This window comes from Homo sapiens, chromosome 5, assembly GCF_000001405.40.
Source record: "Homo sapiens chromosome 5, GRCh38.p14 Primary Assembly".
Taxonomy (NCBI): Eukaryota; Metazoa; Chordata; class Mammalia; order Primates; family Hominidae; genus Homo; species Homo sapiens.
In genome coordinates, this window is record NC_000005.10 from 54,628,626 (window position 1) to 54,648,401 (window position 19,776).

At 42.2% G+C, this 19,776-nt stretch overlaps 1 protein-coding gene across 1 annotated transcript in view, besides 1 other annotated feature; it reads left to right on the forward strand.

The window, feature by feature from the left end:
- Nucleotides 1-19,380, forward strand: part of SNX18 (sorting nexin 18) — a 130,247-nt gene extending 110,867 nt beyond the window's left edge. The window contains exons 4-5 of the transcript XR_007058577.1: nt 14,992-15,292; nt 17,444-19,380. The gene's annotated coding sequence lies outside the window, so the exon portion shown is untranslated. The remainder of the gene's footprint in view (nt 1-14,991; nt 15,293-17,443) is intronic.
- Nucleotides 10,887-11,461: an enhancer, noted in NCBI's record as "OCT4-NANOG hESC enhancer chr5:53935341-53935915 (GRCh37/hg19 assembly coordinates)". NCBI's record gives its function as "activates a minimal SCP1, AML or CMV promoter by ChIP-STARR-seq in primed H9 embryonic stem cells {active_cell/tissue: H9 hESC(primed)}" and the evidence as "EXISTENCE:reporter gene assay evidence [ECO:0000049][PMID:30033119]".
- Nucleotides 19,381-19,776: the final 396 nt, after the last annotated feature.

Genomic DNA, 19,776 nt, shown 5'->3' on the forward strand with positions numbered 1-19,776 from the left:
CCCAGGAAGGTGAAAACACAAATCTGATCATCCATTTCCTGGCAGGGACAGTGCCTATGACTTGGCCTCCACCCAATCTTCCTATCTCATCTCTCTTGAGCCCCTAGCTCCTGGAGTCTGGCCTGGGAAACACCTTGCAATGTTCTGGATTAACCAGGCCGCCTCATGGCTCTGCACTTTAACCCGTGCTGCAGCTTTGGCCTTAGCCTCCTTTCTGCCTGTCCTTCTGATGAGCATCTAGCTTCTCAACCATGCAAGTCTACTCCTGTGTCTCCCCCTCGAGAAAACCCTTTGTTTTCACCTTTCCAGAATTGGTGGCTCCCTGCTGGAACTTGAACAGACTTCTTCAGCACACCTGTGTCCCCTACACCGGAAAGTCCTTCAAGGTCGGGAGATCTTCAACCCACAATGTCCAACATGGCCCCTGGGGCTGAGTGGCTGCTTATTAAATGCCTGTGATTTGCCAGAATGCTGTTTCATTCTTTATTGCTCACAAAGCATTATTGAAAACACTGTCTCACTTGAAAGGTCTTTCCTTGAGACTTGCATCCTGGCTCTCGGGAAAGTCTCCTGATATCTTGCACCTCAGTGTCCCAGTCAATCAGGGTATGATCACAGCTATTAGTGGACTGAGGTCCATGTTCTCACAGTCCTGCAGCTGCTTCTTGAATGTGGAGAGGAGCCACCATTTACATATGTTAGTGAGTTCAAGTGCTGTCAGGCAAAATGCAAAACTTTTCATCATCATTAGCCCCAACTTTGAAAGGCAAATACACATTTCAGTTTCCACTTTTCTGTGCACTCAGATTCTGGTATTGTTTGTGCAGAGTATGCCTCACTGTAGAAGCGTTTAAAATGAATCTGAATAGATAACAAGCATATAACTTAATACCTCAGATGGATAGTTGGATTTCTGACCCCTGTTTGAAGCTTTAAGGCAGGTCAAGTCTACTATGGCGTGAATATTATAACCATTGTGCCTAGGGTGCTGCATTTACCTTGGTGAGTCTCCTTCCTACTGAAGCCAACGAATAATTCAATTAAAACATTGATTAAGTACTTACTGTGTATTTTCCACAGCAACTTTCACAGTGCTTTGTACAAAGTTGTTATCTGAGTTACAGAAGGCTTGGCTTTCTCTGGAAGAGTTTGTGGATATCTCGTCTTTCTTATAGATTAGAACTAAAAGAGTAGCTTAAATGTGACCATTACTGAAAGAGAGGATTAGAAACTGGGAGCATAAACAGGCAAGATCATGCCCAGCTAAGAGATCAATCCACCCTTGCATTATAGGAGGAAAATTAGATTTTCCCTTAAGAACAAGTAGGAAATAATAATTAGCTGATATTTATTGAGCTCTTATCATATTAAACACTTTAAAGGATTGCAGAGTCAGATGAGTGGCGGTGATGGGATTTGAACCGAGAGTTTGGTGTCAGGTTCCTCTCGACTTACCCATTGTCTATACAACACCTGCCAGCTTCTGATAACTGCATCAGGTCCCACCTCTGCAGTGAACAATTGACAAATGTGCCCCAGCTCTGTTGTACTCAGTGCCCCTAGTCCCTGTTCTGTGAACATGGTAGGGAAAATTGATGGAAGAGTCTGGATCAGCTCTCTCTCCAAAGTTGGAAGTCTTGGACTACTTACACAGGATGGCTTTGGGTTTGGGAGAGAAATGGAGTAGACTTGTGTACCTGTGTGTGTGTGTGCGTGTGCATGTGCAGAGATGCAGGCAGGGGAGGCAAACAGGCAGGGAGACCCCTTGGAGTATCTGCACCCTCACTGCTCTTGGAGCATCTTCTCATTTTGAAAGCTGACCCACCATCTTGGCGAAAGTGCTGCTTCTGGTCTGGATCCCTTGATTCTACTGAGAGTGAAGTACAACCTCTGACTCTTTTGCCCTTGAACTAAAGACCTCATGGAAGCCAGGTGTCATGGCTCATGCTTGTAATCCCAGCACTTTGGGAAGCCAAGGTGGGTGGATCACTTGAGGTCAGGAGTTCAAGACCAGCCTGGCCAACATGGTGAAACCCTGTCTCTAGTAAAACTACAAAAATTAGCCGGGCATGGTGGCATGTGCCTGTAATCCCAGTTACTCTGGAGGCTGAGGCAGGAGAACCGCTTGAATCCAGGAGGCAGAGGTTGCAGTGAGCCAAGATCGCCACTGCACTGCAGCCTGGGCGACAGAGCAAGACTCAGTCAAAAAAAAAAAAAAAAAAAAAGAGACCTCATGGAAAGACATGCCAGCCAACATCTGGTGCAGGATGCAGAGCTCAGGCTGCAAATCTGCCACTGCATAGTCACTGTTGATCTCTATTTCCAGGCACCCAGAGGAGCCCAGGTTTTCAAGCCTCTCTTCACTGAACTTGCGTCACCTACAGAGGCAAAAATGAATTTTAGAAAGCTGTAGAAATTCAAAGCCAACCATAACAACCCATGTCCCTGAAGGTATTTGAATTTAGCTTCTGATGAAAATAAGGCCATTTCAATGACATAATACAGCCACATTTATATCATCCTGCCATCTCCATTTGGAGACAGCTCAGTGCTTGTCCCCAGCCAAAACTAACAGCCGGACTTCTTTTGCAATGTTTAGAAGGCACTCTTTTATTTAGTGCTGAGAAATCCTCTCTAAAGGAATGTTTCATAGAACTATGCTCAACATCCTGCTCTTTTGTAGGAAAATAAATCCAGGATGGTTGCAAGGATAATCAATTATCATAGAGTAAAAATGCATACTTTTAAACAAGGCTATTGTTTCAGCAGATGTTTAGCTTATATCATTATAAAGGCTTCAAATAAAACAATTTGGTAATGCTTTTTCTTTTAACCTCTCTTTCTGTCAATAAATAAATGCTGGATATCATAGTCCACATGACGAGTTTATTCTCCTCTATACCAAGCTGTTATTCACGTGACTTTTATTGAGCATCTACTGTATGTAGGCCTCTATTCTGGGTGCCATGGCAAATGTAAAGTTGAAAAAGATATTCTTTGCCTCTCAAGAGGAGACTGGGAAGATATCATCATATATGAAACATCTCAATAAACCAGGTGACAATCAGTACTAGCTGAAGGATCCCCTAGAAGTCAAGAGGAGGAACCTTAAAGGATGGGAATTCAAATGGTACCTACACTTATTTGCAAGGCTTTTCTGAGTAGATGTGAGATCAGAAGAGTCATACATGATTATGTCGTACAAGTGATTGGAGAATGGCCACATTCACTTTAACCATTCCTTGTCAATGAATGCTGAAGTCTGTTTCAGCCCCACTGCAAAACCTCAAATTGGGCCAGAGCAGATTACACTAAACATTGACTTTCTTTAACAGGGACAAGGAGAACTGTACTCCCACCCCCTGCACCTCTTCTACTGGGGAACAGAGAGGAGTTCATCAGAGATTTCAAGAAGCCTGGCATGTCCTTGCCCCCACCAGCAGTCTGATCTCCGAAAAGGTTGAGGGGTGCATAGCAGTCTTGGGAAGATGCTGGTTCCTGGTCCCATAAGCAGCTGATCTCTGAAGCCCATTTCCCATGTGGGGTCCTGCGTTTCACCAGACAAGAACTCTGGCTCCCCTGCTACCTCTTGGGCCATGTTTCTTTCTTAGCATAGCTTCCCAGAGATGTGCAGACGCCAGGGGAGTGGATCCAGCCAAAACATGTTCTTGGCAGAGATGCCAAGACAGAGCCCTGAAAAACAAAGGAAGTCTAGCAGATAACTGGCTCTTTCTGAAGGAATCTGGAGTTTTGACTGCCCACATTGAGCTGTTGGCACCAGCAGGAATGGAAACTGGGCCTTGCAAACAGAGTCCCAGCTTGTCTGTGCACCATGGTGGCCTGGACACAGTCAAATCACAGTCTCCCACACCCCCAGCCCAGCACACACGCAGGCTGAGTGAAGGCTGCATGCAGGACATTGCACGGCTCCTTTTTTGTGGTGTGGTCTTTACCAGAAGCCCAGCCAAACCACTGAGAAGGGGGCTTAGACACACACCGGGAGCTGTGGGCTCCAACTACCAGCGAGGTCTGCTCCAGGCCAGGGAGGGATGAGGGGATTTGTTGTGATTTCTTCACACACACACTCTTTATATTTATCCAAGCCACAGATAAGAAACAATCCTTCTAAACCCAGGGCAGTAATTTTTATTTTTTTTATTTTTTTTTGAGATGGAGTCTTGCTCTGTCGCCAGGCTGGAGTACAGTGGCGAAACCTTGCCTTACTGCAACCTCTGCCTCCCGGGGTTCAAGTGATTCTCCTGCCTCGGCCTCCTGAGTAGCTGGGATTACAGGCAACCGCCACCATGCCCAGCTAATTTTTGTATTTTTAGTAGAGATGGGGTTTCTCCAAGTTGGCCAGGATGGTCTCGATCTCTTGACCTCGTGATCTGCCCGCCTTGGCCTCCCAAAGTGCTGGGATTACAGGTGAGCCACTGCGCCCGGCCCAGGGTAGTATCTCTCTGATATCAGAATCATTTGGTTTGCTCATTAAAAAGGCAGATTTCTGGTCTCCTCTTTCGACCTGCCTGGTGAACGTGAATCGGAGGATAGAAACTGAGAATTTGCATGGTTTAAGAAATGCCTCAAGTGAGTCCTTTGTCCTAGATCAGTGAAATCGTATCTCAAGCTGCAAATAGAAAGAGCAAAGGACTGAGAAGTTTGAGTTTTGTATCCCAAGCAGGTGGTGATGGCATCATAGAAGATATAAATGGAATATAAGACATTCACTCACTTCCCCAAACATACTTAGATCCTGAGTCTTGGTTTCCGCATTTTAAAAGGATAGAGTTGGGTGACTGAATGAAGCTGGAACTAAAAGTGTGCCTGGTTCTGTCTGGGTTAAACATAGGACCCCACAAGGGAATGGACTCCAGGAACCAGGTTCATATTGTATCAGTAACAAGCTGATATTAGTAGCTGTAGGACATTGGGCAAGTTACTTAACACCCCTGTGTCTCAGTTTCTCCATCTAAAAATGGTTATAATATTATATACCTCATAGGTACTATAGGTGTATAATGCATTTACAAGTGCTGTAACAGTGTGTGGTAGAAATACTCAACAAATGTTACCTGTTACTATGCATTTTGCATTGCACTAATGAACTTTTGGAAGATCTTCCAGCTTAGTGAGAGCTTAATGGAGCTTGAACATAAATTTCACTTTGTGTGCTGGGATAGTAAGCCATGTTCTTTTAGAGTCAACACATTTTTACTGAGGCCCTACCTTGTGCAAAGGTGCTTTGCCTTCATGGAGCTATTCATCTTGTTGGGAGACACTTATTTTATTGTTGGCTTACTTGTCCAGAAACACACGAAGTATTATGAACAAGAGAAGCATCTGCCAGTACTTGGAATCCTTTCTGCTTTGCTTTCATGGCTATAATTTCATTTTGACCCCAAACAACAGCCCTGAGCAAAATGTGCAGTACTCTGAAGAGTGGTTTTCAATACTTAATATCTTAAGGAGTTTGTTGGTCCTTGGGAACTAACAAGGGTGGCAGATGAAATTGATTTAAGGGTCTCCCTCCTCCCCCATATACACACTTTTTCCAGCCAGAATTCCTCTCTTCTAACATGCTTATTGGATTTCCTTATAAGGCTATGGTTGAATCAGGGTCCTGCTGGGTGTAGAGAGTGGGGTGGAAGAAGAATTCCAAGGTGTGGCTTTGTCCTGGGCAAGTTAGGACTTCTGAGGGACCATGACACAGAACTGATACATTCAGGAAAGAGGGGCAGAGTTTAGTGTTTGCTTCCCTTTGGGTTATTCTCAGTGGATAGGAGCCAGTAAACCAAACTTGTCCAACCTGTGGCCCACGGGCTGCTGCATGCAGCCCAGGATAGCTTTGAATGTGGCCCAACACAATTTCATAAACTTTTCTAAAACATTACGAAATTTTTTTGCGATTTTTTTTTTCAGCTCATCAGCGATCCTTAGTGTTAATGTATTTTATGTGTGGCCCAGGACAATTCTTCTCCCAATGTGGCTCAGAAAACTCAAAAGATTGGACACGCCTGCAACAATTTAGACCCCACTAAAATCATTTCTGAGCACACCTTCACTTACAGTTACACACAAAAACCCTGCAAATATGATGTTGAAATAGGGGAATAACATCCCAAATTAAAAAAAAATTCATGACAAGGCTGAAAGACATATAATACATTTATAAATATACACCATTTTGGAATGTTTTTAAAAATTGAGCGTCTTATTCATAAAATAAGCATCTTTAGGATAATTAATGTTTGTCAGCATACTTGTTTCAGTGCACTGGAAATTAACTAACTGAATTTCCTTTAAAAACTAAATTTTTGTTACAAATAGAACTACAAGCTATTGAACTTACAATTTTGCAATTTTAAAGCAGCCGGAAAATAATTTTATAGTGATTCATTTTTGAACTTTGTCTCCAGAATATATTTTTCTAGAAAAATATATTTTGAAATTTGTGTCTAAGAATACATATTTCAAAATGTGTTTATGTCTCCTTATTGGTAGACATAAACACATTTTGTGTTTTTTGTGTTTTCTAGAGTCTCAAAATATATTTGTGTTGCTCTGGGCCATTTGGGGGAGAATATTCCCAAAGTAGTGCTTATTATAATCATAAGCCTTAATTATTATTATTAATATTATAATACTATATATCGTTTTCCTTTCTTAGTCTTTAGCAGAGTTCACTTTGAAAACGCCAGCTTCCCTTTGCTGTGAAAAGGGAAAATATAAGAAAATTCTTACAGACAATAAAAACCATAGAAAAGCCACCAAGTTTCTAAAATACTTGCTGGGCTTCCATGTTTCCCTGTAAAATCAGTGCCTCTGATCTTCTTCTGCTCCAGGCTTTAAGGAGTGGCACCATTTTCCCTGGTGCATTTCCTGGCATTTTTTTCTTCTTGCTGTTTGCCTTGTTTTATTTTATTAAAGTGACCTCATCATGTTGGTCCCAGCAGGTCAATCAATTGCCCCATTGATTTCAGGAATGGAAAATAATGGCCGTCTATGGGCTGGAGGTAGCATATGTAGTGGATGCTGTGGTCTCAGCAGAGATCTTTCAGGACGAGGTACTCATATACCAACTATGGGGAGAGTTGGCTGACTTCAGGTACAACCTGTGTACAGGGCCCCATGCTCAGAGGGCCTCGCACTTGATTTAATGCTCTGCTGCTGCCATCTTGAAATTTGTAATACTTTTTGAACATTGGCTTCAACATTTTCTTTTTGCACTGGGCCCTACAAATTATGTATTCAGTCCTGATGACCACACTCACGGGGAAACCTACCTAGAGCATCATGTGCAGTGGAAACCTGAGATGTTCCCTGAGCTCATCAGGAGTGACTGTTTTGATGTGTTGGCTCTGCCTACCATGGATGTGGGAAGAGGTGAGGGGCAATGGGGATGCTAAATGCTTCCCATCACTGGCTGACTGGGGCAAACACCAGCTTAGGAGAAAGGCTTAGCTGGGTGCTCCAATCCTCTGGGCCCACTCACGTCTTTGTTCTGGTCTAAGAGATGCTAGACTCTAGCCTTCCTAAGCTTCTGAAGCTTTCCATGATGCTCAGTCAGGGGCATCCACTCTTCTCCTTCCCTTTCCCCATCAGGCCCATTCAGAAGTGGGCCTGAACGGGGATGAGGCCCTCTAAGTCTACTGATATCACTTTTTCATTTTCACAACCCAACAATACTTTACCTGCTTAAACAATGAAGCACATGACATTTTGATGAAGTCTTCCTGGTGCAACTTTTTTTTTTATCTCTGGAGCATTTTGCTATGGGGAGAAAAATCAAGCAATAAAATCTTCAGTGAAAAAAAAAATTGAGTTGTATGCATAACGGAAACATCACCTCATCTCTTCTGTTCTCTTTTAATAGCACTTTTGCAAAACTACCCAGTAAACCTGTACGTTGTTCATGCCTGAGCCATGCTCAACCTCTATACCTTTCCCCAGCCCCTACTCTGCTTTTTGCCCCAAACCTGCCTCTTTCCACAACTACAATTTCTATTCCTAGAGTTGCATCAAAAATGAGTAAGGAAAAAAGAAAACTGCTTATTACTGCTAAGTGGAATGTTCATCTAAACAGAAAATGCACCCAATTTTAAATTAGTAAAAATAATTGCTAACATGCATATAACACTTGAAAGAATACCTGGCACAGATATTAAGCACTTTAGAACTCACTTACTCCTCACAGTGTGTTGCAGCACAAAGAAGTTAAATGAATTTCCTAATATTACTTTACAGTGAAAGTGGATGGGGCCAGGATTCAAAACCAGTTTGCCTGTATTCTTTCTTAACCACTATGCCATCTCCACATGTGTCCTCAAGTCAAATGGTGAGGACTTCATCAAATATGTTATTTTTTTACCTTAAATATAAAGTTTAAGAGACTAATGAGGCAATAGCCAAATAGACAACTTGGTCAAAGTTTGCACATTGACAAATGCAAATTCTAGTTCAGTGTGGAACAGTGGATGTGTGACAATTGGTAAATGAATTTTATTTGTTCAGTCTTGAAAAGACCAAGAATACAAGCAGAACATGTAAAGGGGAGAGCCATCATAAAAGTGCTTAAATGTATCAGAATGGAGAGAAGAATTTTGCGACTTTGCACCTGAAAAAGGAATACAAACACAGAACTACTTCCAAATATCTGAAATAAATCTCCTATAATTTTCTTATGAATTAATCATAAATAAAATATTATCTTTCAACCTTTTGTACATTTTGAATAACTGTTACCATAATTCATTTTCATCAAATATCCTTTGGCGTGAGAAAAGTGGATTTTCAGATATTTTATTAGTGTCAATTTTATCAAAGAAATTTTCTAATAATATAGATTTTGCCAGCTGGTACCAACAAGGAGGAATGAAGTGGTGGTGGGGTGGGGTAGGCTAGGTTCAGGGACAGGGAGTGGAAAGAGGGGCGCTAGAAAAGATAATAAAAATAGTACATACTAGGTAACAGGTTTCAACAAAAATGATAATTGAGGAGACACGCCAGAGTGGTGTGAGGGTCAAAACAGGGCAGTTGACATTACCTGATAATTTATTTTTTAAGCTCTGTGTTAAAACAGTTGTGTCAAAATGGCCTCTTGGTAATCCCCTGCATAACAACTCCGTGGGGTGAGATGTGTGAAATGCCTGGGATGGTGCCGGGCCCTCTGGAGGGGCCATACTCTACATGACCTTGCAAACGGCTTCTCTTTCACAGCTTTCCAGAAGAGCAAACCTAAGTCAGAGTAGAGAGGCTTGTTCCAACCAGCTCTAGGCTTTCGCCTTCACGCAGCAGGAAACCCGGGCTGCTCTCCAGCTTCTCCAAGACTTCACCCAGCTTTCAAACTCAAACTGCTGGACTGGAGAGAGAGAGAGAGAGAGAGAGAGAGAACATTTTCTCCAATTTCAAAATCTCTGTACAAAACTCATGTAATTGTTCAGTAGTCACCAAGGTGCGGGCTCCCATCATTCCTTTTGGAATTCATTCCCCATTTATATTCTAACTCTACATGAAGCTTTCTTTAACAATGGCTGCTGCATAGATAGTATGTTGACTTTAATAACTTAAAAATAGCTGCCACGGTGCATTTTTAGATATAGTTAATGGTACTTTCTGAGAATCTGTGGTTTTTGAAAGATAGTGATCTTCCCCCCAACCCCAGTCCACAGATATGTGAAGCTAAAAAATAAAAAGGGGGAGGGACTTGGAGACAGATATCCTGAGCGTATGCTATGTTTTTCTGACACCTCTGAGTTTTATAAACTTAGAGAACCATTCTTGGATCCTTAGTTTTTGTATCTATAAAATGGATGTCACACTATGCCTCATCTTTAAATGAAACTTGAGACAGCTGAATAATAGCAGATTACATTTAAAAAAATTTTTTGGTGAAGAATTTTTATTTTAAGAGGGCTTGGTATCTTCTTTGTTGTTTGTTTTTTATTTGTCATTTCCTGACATAGGGTATTGGTATCTAAAAGGATGGCTCATGAGGAAAAAATATAGACCAATGACTGGCACTGACTGCTAATATTTATTGCATATGTACAAATATTTTACATGTATCACTTCATTTTAGCCTCATAACAATCTTACAAGATATGTATTTTTATTATCTACCTGTATAGATAAAGAAAACAAGCATAGAGAGAGTTGAGCCACCCGCTTGCCTAAGGTCAGCCAGGAGAAATGGTAGAAGCTGGATCTGAGCCCTGGCCACACCCCTCCAGGGCCCGACCTCAAGACCTCATAACATCATCCTTTGAAGGCCTGAGGTGGGACCCTTCCCACCTCCACTCCATGGGCCAGCTACTAGAGCAGTAATTCTGCTCAGACATAAGGTCTCTTTTAAAATATTATTTACTTTTTATTCATTCTATAGGCCTCACTTTAGATTGGATTTATCTCAATAGAGAGGAATACAAATGTGGATAAAAATCATGTCTACATATTGAAAACTTCATTAGAAATAAACATTTTAATGTTCTGCCATGAGTTTCCTAACTTAGTCCTTTTGAGGCTGACAGTAAAAATTTGCCTTCAGAGGTAACAGTGGGTAGGCCACCGAATGCTCTCCCAATCAGAGAACTTATAGTTTATAACCAGCAATCTAGGGACATGAGCATTTTAAAATTCCAGTTTTTTTGAAGGTGTATCATGTTTTAAAAAAAAATTTTTCAGAAAAAGCAATGCATTAGAATCCATACATGTATTTGTAGAATGTATGGAGTGGCTATTCTTAATTGTGGCTGATCACAATAGCTGGCATATCATAGGGGATCAGTAAATACATTTCAAATGAACAGATGGACAAATGAACTTGGTAAAGCCAATGTCACTTCCAGTTCTTGCCAAAATAATATTATCTAATATTTATTGATAGCTGATTATATGCCAAGTATAGTCTAAATGTATAAAATGCCCTCACTCATTTAACTCTCAAACAATGCTAGGAGGTAAGGACTATTTTTAATCTTTATTTTTCACGAGAATCTTGAGGACCAGAAATAGTAACTTGCTCAAAGTAAGTTACGCACCCAAAATTCAGACTTGGGTCCTATGGCCTGAGTCTATGCTGGAAGCAAAAGGGACAAGCTTTGTCTTGAAGAAACAAAGCTTATCTAGGCCTGAATAAGCTACGCTCAAGCGTACTCAGAGAAGCGATTTGCAGATTTTCTGAAGGGGCCTCCTGGGGTTAAGTGATTAGGCTGACCAAGGAGGTTATGCAAGGGCATTATGTATCAGCAAAAGCCAGGTGGGCAATGAGTGAAAGTAAGCTGTGGGCCCACGCACTATAAGGAAAGGACTAAAAGAATCATCAGTTCCTGAGGCCAATGGAGATGGCACTCCATTGTAAGGATTCTGTTGGGGATCCAGTTAGAAATATTCTTTGATAAGTGAATGAGACTGAACATACGGGGATTATGGACCTCAATTTTCAACATCTAACTTCAGTGTGGTGTCCAATATCTTATCCCCTGGCAGAATGGGCAAAGGGTCAGAGAAGCCTAACCTCAAATACCTCCTTAAGCTACAAGGACCATGACATGGGGGAATAAAGTTCATCACTGTCTAGAAATAGATTCTTTTTTTTTTTTTCTTTTGTAAGACAAGGTTTCACTCTCATCACCCAGACTGGAGTGCGGTAGCTCTATCTCGGCTCACTGCAACCTCCATCTCCCAGGCTCAAGCGACTTTCCTGCTTTATCCTCCCAAGTAGCTGGGACTACAGGTATGTGCCACCACACCTGGCTAATTTTTGTACTTTCTTTTTTTTAAAAAAAAGATGGGGTTTTGCCATGTTGCCCAGGCTAGCCTTAAACTCCAGACTCAAGCAATCCACCCACCTCTGCCTCCTAAATTGCTGGGATTACAAGGCATCAGCCACTGTGCCCGCCAGAGTAGGGTCTCATCTTACGCTCTGGCCTACAAGACGAAATAGTAATTCCCAGCAAGAGATCATCTGGATAGATTAAAAAGGGATTCATAAAATCGTGCACCCTTTACAACCTCTCTTTGACCATCATAATGAGTAAAAGAGCTTGTGGGGGCAACTCAAAAGAGGGTTCTCCTAGGGCTCTTCAATAGAAGGGGATGGGGTAATCAAGACTTGGGAATCTATCCATATCAGGTTGATAAAAAAAAAATCAGGAGGCTGGGTGTGGTGGCTCACACCTGTAATCCCAGCACTTTGGGAGGCCGAGGTGGGAGAATCACTTGAGATCAGGAGCTCAAGACCGGCCTGGTCAACATGGTTAAACCCCATCTCTACTAAAAATACAAAAATTAGCTGAGTGTGGTGGCACATGCCTGTAGTCCCAGATACTCAGGAAGCTAACATAGGAGAACTGCTTGAATGTGGGAGGTGGAGATTGAAGTGAGCCGAGATTGTGCCACTGTACTCCAGCCTGCACGACAAAGCAAGAATCTGTCTCATAAAAAGAAAAAAAAAATCAGGAAGGAGTATACAGAAGTTCTGAGAGCTTGACATGGTCCCGTAACTCTGTTTCTTTTCTTGAGACTCACCCAGGGGTTCGATACCACCTTGTTCTTCACCAGAGTCAGGCCAGAACAATGCAAGACAATCCTTTCACAGGTGTGACCTGTGCACCACCCACTGCTGCTTCAGTATTGTTGTCATATCCTGATAAATTTTTACATAGATGTTGTATTATTACATATTATATGTGTATGTGTGTGATATTCCCCAAATTCAGTGGATACAAGAGACCAGCAGCTTTCAAAAATGCATTTAAAAGAGGTCTTTTTTTTAAACTGACAGAATTATGTCTGGAATCTCAGCACATAAAATAAACAGGAGCTCTCTGGTTGAAGTTGGCGTGGGATGGGGCTGGAGCCATTCTGCCAGGAGTGGTGGAGGGAAGGCTGGGGATCTTCCTACAAACCTAGCCACCCACAGAGAAGAACACCTTTAGGGCACTGCACTCAGGGTTTTGAGCGTGCACTACAGAGAGTGCACCACAAAGGTTTTCAAAGAGCTTTGAGTATCTACTATTTCTCACAGCACAACAAAAATTTTTATCCCTTGAGAAGAATTATTCTGTAAGTGACAGGGAAACTATAGAGTCACATTGAGGAGGACGCTTTGCTATACCTCATTTTCCTGCAGGCTCCTTAGCCCCTTGTAAAATCATGGGTGCTGAATGTGTGTATGTATGCGTGTGCGGGTGGGAGGTGCAACGCGGCAGCATTGCCTATCACCTCCCACCAAGAGCAGCCATGCCCCAGTTCCTTGCTGAGTCAAAAATATTCTCTTCCATACTTCTTTCAAAACGATTGGTGGCTACTTGCCTTAGATCTACTTAACTAAAGAGCTATTCAAGGACTTCTTGAAAAATCAGACAGTGATTTTATAATAAAAGGCTGACAGTGTCTCTGGGACTGAGAGACGGACCTGAGTACTAAGATTAGAAATGGAGGAGGCTGATGAAGTATATGTATTCGTTGATGCTACAGCAGCAGCACAGCGGATCATTCCCCAACTATCAGGAACCATGAAAGGTCTGAGAGAAGGAGGCTGGGAACTTTTTTGTCCTTGGTCGGGTCACAATGCTCCTGTAAATCTTTAACAAAACATAATTAGTTGTTTATATACTTCCTCTTTAATCCCAGAGTTCGATTTACAAAATATTTGATTGCTGTTTTTGTATATTATCTCAGTGCTCTAAAATTACCCTAGCAAACGTGCAGGAATGGGTGTAGGCCCCTTAAATAAAAATGGAATTAGTTATGTTGGGTTTTTTTTTTTTGCTGTTTCACTGCTACAATTCCCCACTGTCAAAGGCTCATTCCACAATTTTGTGGGATTAGGGACAATGGGATGTCATCTCTCAGCTGGCTACTTCTTGCCAAACAGGGTCAACGTGGGGCAACTGTGGAATGAAACTTTTTGACCTGGCAGTGAGCTGATGTTCAGGCCCTTGTTCCTTCCAGGTCTTTAGGAGGACCTATTTCTTAGTTGAAAAGGATGCAGGTCCATATCCATGGGAAAAATGATTCTGCTGGAAGCAAACTTATAAACAAAAGTTAGTATAATATCTAGCGTCTTAACATATTTGGCAATTGTTAAATCTCTTAGAGCATCGGTTGGTTCTCACACCAGGGCAGAAACCTGGAATGGCCTACCATATCAGCAAGAAAATCAATACATTTGCTCCCTACTGTCAATTGTATCCAGGGCTCCTGTGGGTATATGATAGATCAGCTCAACATACATATTTAATGGGTTACAGAAGTAGCTATAAATATTTATGAAGGTGGTCTTGACACATGTGTACTGAACAAACATGCATGTAACACACGTTTATCTTGGGGTGGAGACTTAACCTTTGCCGGGCATGGCCTTAGGTCCTGTTTATGATTTGGTATCTTATAGCCACAGGCTGTGCTGCCAGTCTCATGATCTCTATTTTAACATTAATGCTGTTGTTGTGTCTAAACTATAAAGGGAGGGGGGATAACAAGGCATTCCCAACCTCGTTTCTCGTGGCTCACTTTCAAGCAGTGGGCAGCTGAATATGGGCTCAGTTACACCAACATGTTCAGGTAGGAGGACTTCTTTTTTTAATACTTGAATTCTACATACTCTCACATAATGGTCATTATATTTTTAGTATCCAGTTATTGCTTTTTGCCATAATGTATTTTCTCAGATAAAAATTTAGTCACATCTTAAAATAAACTTGCATTTTACTAATCAAAACTGCATCTATAGGACTTGAAAAATAGTAATAAATAGATGTGAAAAACACATTCAATTTATAGCAATACTTAGCACACAAATAGATTCATGGATTACCCTCCTCCCCCCAAAAATCTGATGGTTGAACCCATCTAAATAAATCATATTACCTTTTTTAAAAAACGACTTTTGGTTAGTTTATATAAATTATTTTCCATGAATGTAGTTCTAGTAATAATGAATGAATGCACTGTTTATTGACTATTTGCAAATTGTTTTTGTTATCTCAGATTGAAATTTTGGAGGTATCAATTCCTTGAGATGGGAGGAGAACGGAAGGAAAACAAACAACTACCTTTTCCTTTCCTGTTGTTGCTGATGTGCACTTTCCCTGTCTTCCACGTCATGACTCAGGAAATGAGGGGGTGCATCTCAGAGGGCACCCTGCCTGTGTTCTCTGTCATTGCCTGTGAGCCACCGACTGATACCATCATTTTAATCACTCAAGAAGCCTTCCTTTCAGGAATGTATATTGCTTCTTGGCCCCTGCCTTCTCCCTGGAAATCCTGGGCAAAGAGCCAGGGAAAAAACGTGAGTGCTCAGGCCGAAATCAGTGGGCTGGAATTGTTTCTTCACTTTGGGTGACTCCACTGTTACTCAAGGAATGAACTGATTGGCACCAAGCAAGAAGAACAGCACATCTCTTTGGACTCATTCCCTTATTTATAAGCCATAACCTTAGGGACAATAAGCTAGAGACCCTGCCAGCATCCTTGAGCCAGGATCTCATCTGTTGTCACAGTAGCCATGTTTCCCTGGCATCCGAGAGCCCAAGGATGCAAATAAGGCCTGGGCCAAACTAAGCTCTGACAATTAATGTTATTCCAAAGAGGCAGCAGCGAGGGTAGGAAGTTCTGGTCCCCTCATCTTACTTCAAGTTTCACAGCCAAGAGTGATGATAGCTTTAGTCAGTAAGTACAGTCAAGGAGCCTATGAGACAGAACTTGTCACAAAGACAGCTGATGTTTCGCATGGACCTTAACAGAGTAACTGGTGTCTCTTCAGGAATGGGGCACAATCCAGAGGTTACTAACCACGGGTGAGTAACAGGTGATCCACAACAATCTCATCTGACTCATAGTAGAGATTGCTGGCATCTACCCAGCATTCATTCCCCCTCTTCCTAAGAGAAACTCAATTCGTTGTAATCAGCAACATATTCCCAACAGGAAAATCACATTTCAAGCCTTCCTTTAGATAGGTGACTACATTTTGGCCAGTGAGATAGGAGTGAAAGTTGTCAGATGGGCTCCTCCTGACAACTCCTTTAGAAGGGGCTGACCCAGCTGTCAGCCATTTGCCCTGGTGTGTCCTCCTCTCTACTGACTACAATATAGGTGTGATGGCTAGAGTAGCAGCTGCTATCTTGGGACAAGGGGAGACCTTGGGGTAAACAGAACCTAGGATAGTAAAGCAGAAAGATAGAAGAGCCTGGGCTGATGATGATGTGGCAGAACTGCCAAACAAGCTCTGGACTGCTAATCTCTGGACTTAACTTTCAGGAAACAAAATTAAACTCTATCTGGCTCAAGCCACTCTTACTTTATGGACCAAGAGCATTGGCAGCACTTGGGAGCTTGTTAGAAAGGCAGCTTCTCAGGCCCCTTCCCAGGCCAAATGAGTGACGATCGGCTTTGTAGCAAGATCCACAGGTGATTTGCATGCACAGTAAAGTTTGGGAAGCACTGCTCCAGATGTAGTTAGTTTCTCTGTTTATGAAATTATTAACTGATATATCCTGGGAAATAATGAATTCTATTTGCCGGTACTAAAACATGGTAAGAATGATATAACCATAGGATAAAACAACTAAAATGCCCTGAGTTATTTGGATACAAAGAAAGAAAGCATTCATGTCAATTAGGTAATTGATGTTCCAGCCACTATACCTGGCACCAGAGAAGTAAAGATATCCCTGCTCTAGACTCCATGGTCTAACAAGGGAGACATATAGATACTGTGTATTGTGTTGCATTGCATTATAAGAACCGTTTGGATGCAATAAGAGCTATGCCCAGGTGTTCCGGGAAAACAGATGAGGGGTCTAAGCCTTCCCTCCTGGGCTAGGGAGTAAGTTAGAGAAAACTTCTTGGAAGAGATGTCACCTGAGTAGTTAAGAATTATCTTGCTTCTTCCCCCAGTTTCAGGGATCAGAGGCCATCCTTTGTGGGCTTAAGTCAGCCTGCTGGCCTCCCCAGCTGCTCCTTAAATTCTAAGAGTTGGCATAAAAGACACAGGTTACAACACGAATGTCTTCATCCTACACGATCTTTACTTTCTCTGTTCACAATGTGGGCTCCTTGGCTCCATTTTACATATACAGGAAATTTGGACACCGAATAGAGAGTGAATTTCAAAGGATTCAGAGAAGGCAAACCCATATGAGTGTTTAGAGTTCATTGATCACTAGTATCTTCTTAATTTTGTGAACACCGGGTTCTGAATTCCTTCATTGACTAGCTATTTCTCTTCATGTCTTCTACAAACATTCTGAAGTTGGAAATCCTTTTTATTGGTGTTTAGAATAAGTCAATGTTTTTCCTCTCTTTATATTTCTACTTGATATTCCTCAGTTTTCTGTATTATTAAAAATGAAATCACATTTTTGGATACTTGTGGTTTGGCCGGCTGGTTGGGAAACTTTTCTGGCATTCATTATTGCTTTTTTCTTTCCATTTAAAGAACATTTACTGGATTTGGTACTTGGCGAAAGAAACTGACAAATTAAGAAATGAGAGAGAGAATAAATGCACTGTGCATGCTGAAACCCCAAGAAGACTTTTTTTCTCCTACTTTTTATGGACCTGAGGTGTTGGAAATGGAAACATTGTTTCAAACAAAATCCAGATTTTTATCTCTCTCCCCAAGAGATATGGCTTTAATCTTTTTTCTTTTCTTCTGCTGCTTTTCTGAAACACTCTGCTAGGGGCTGATTTCCTCTTCTTTGAAACAGACCAAAATATCCCTGTGGGTGAAAAACATGCCGGAAGTGAAACAGAAAGACTCAGCTTGCCCCGTGTTCGTGGTCTGTCAACTTCTCTAGCCAGTGCCTGGATCCACAGCTCACTGCTGCCGGTTGCCCTGCGTTAGCCGCATTGCGGGGGAGACAGGAGAGGCTTGAAGGCTTTTTATATTCTACTCTCTTCTGAAGAATTCACAAGTTAGCAAGCACTCAACCACTACTAACCAGAAGGTATTGCCAACCATAACAAACTACACCCATCAACAAGGCCTCCCTCATATTGCAATCCCAGCAGAAAATGATGCAGGAAAAGCACTCCCCAAATCTTGGTTGCCTGCCACCCAAGTTCTTATGCCAAGATATGTGTTTAGCCAGTTCTAAGATGCTGCCACCTTTTCATGTGTCCAACACTAGGCTTTCTACCATAGTTCCCTCCACCCAGAATGTGTTACTTGGCTCCTACAAATGCAAGAGGAAGTGCCCTTCCCTGAACAGAAATCAAAACACAGGGTGAAACCACGACTTGTTTTCAACAGGCCTCCTGTTGTGAGCCCTCCCAGCTGTGCTGCCTTTCTCCAAGAGAGCTGGGACTGGCGGCTCGAAGCGGTATAAATGGCCTGTGCCTCTTCCTGAGGCTGCCTGTAACAAGTGTCTCAAGAGCAATTCGTCATCGGCTGGAGATTACCAACTTGGCTCACTGAACCAGATCGTGCTTTGTCACATGTGAAATTCTGATGTTCTAATACATGGCTTGTTTGCAAACTACGCCTTAAATAAATATATTCAGGATATTTAACAATATAGTGTTCTGAATTAGACCATCATTTACATCTGTATTTATTCAATAATCATTTACTAAGTGCCAAATACATGCCGAGTACTATGCCGAGTGCAACAGTTAAAACGCAGGAAAAAGATCGTATTGCCCTTACTGGGCTATAAATTCAAATCTCTGTCTCATCTCATCAAGCAATCTTTCCGCCTTGGCCTCCCAAAGTGCTGGAATTATAGGCATGAACCACCACACCTGACCCAGGAGAGTTTTCTTTAACGAGTGATGCTTGATCTCAGTTTTGAAAAGTATAGAGGTGTTCACCTAGAGGAGAGGAAAGAACAGAGCATTCTGGAAAGAGGACTGTGGAGCAAAGGCAAAGAGATATTACATAGCCTGGCATGGTTTGGGAACTATAAGCAGTTGAAGTTGGTAGTGAATGGGGCATGAGAGGAAGGGGAGGTAGGCAGAGGCATGATCGTAGAGAACCCTGTATTCCAATCCAAGAATCAAAGTCATCATCCTGAAGGCTGTGGGGGCAATATTGAGGAGATTCCCAGAAAATGAGTGATATTTACTTGTCTTCATGACAGCAAATTGAACAGCAGGGGTTGAAAACAGGGGAAGGCTAAGTAGCAGATCATTGCAATAGACCAGAAAAATGAAGGCTTGAAACTTCAACGGGCAACAGGGATGAAGAGTTGAGAACAGATTTGAGAGAAGTGAAAGGAGTAGGATCTGCAGAACTTGGAGACTGACCGGATTCTGGAAGATTAAGGAGATGGAGATGTCAAGGGTGAATGGTTCCCAGTTTATTATTTAGGAACCCGAAGGAATGCTGGTGTGTGCGGAATTGGTGGGTTCTTGGTCTCACTGACTTCAAAAATGAAACCACGGACCCTCGCGAAGAGTATTACAGTTTTTTTAAAAAAAAAAAAAAAAAGACGGAGTCTCGCTCTTTAGACCAGGCCGGACTGCAGTGGCCCTATCTCGGCTCACTGCAAGCTCCGCCTCCTGGGTTCATGCCATTCTCCTGCCTCAGCCTCCCAAGTAGCTGAGATTACAGGCCCCCGCCACCGTGCCCAGCTAATTTTTTGTATTTTTAGTAGAGACAGGGTTTTACCGTGTTAGCCAGGATGGTCTCGATATCCTGACCTCGTGATCCACCCGCCTTGGCCTCCCAAAGTGCTGGGATTACATGTTACAGTTCTTAAAGGCGTCGTGTCCAGAGTTTGTTCCTTCTGATATTCGGATGTGTTCAGAGTTTCTTCCTTCTGGTGG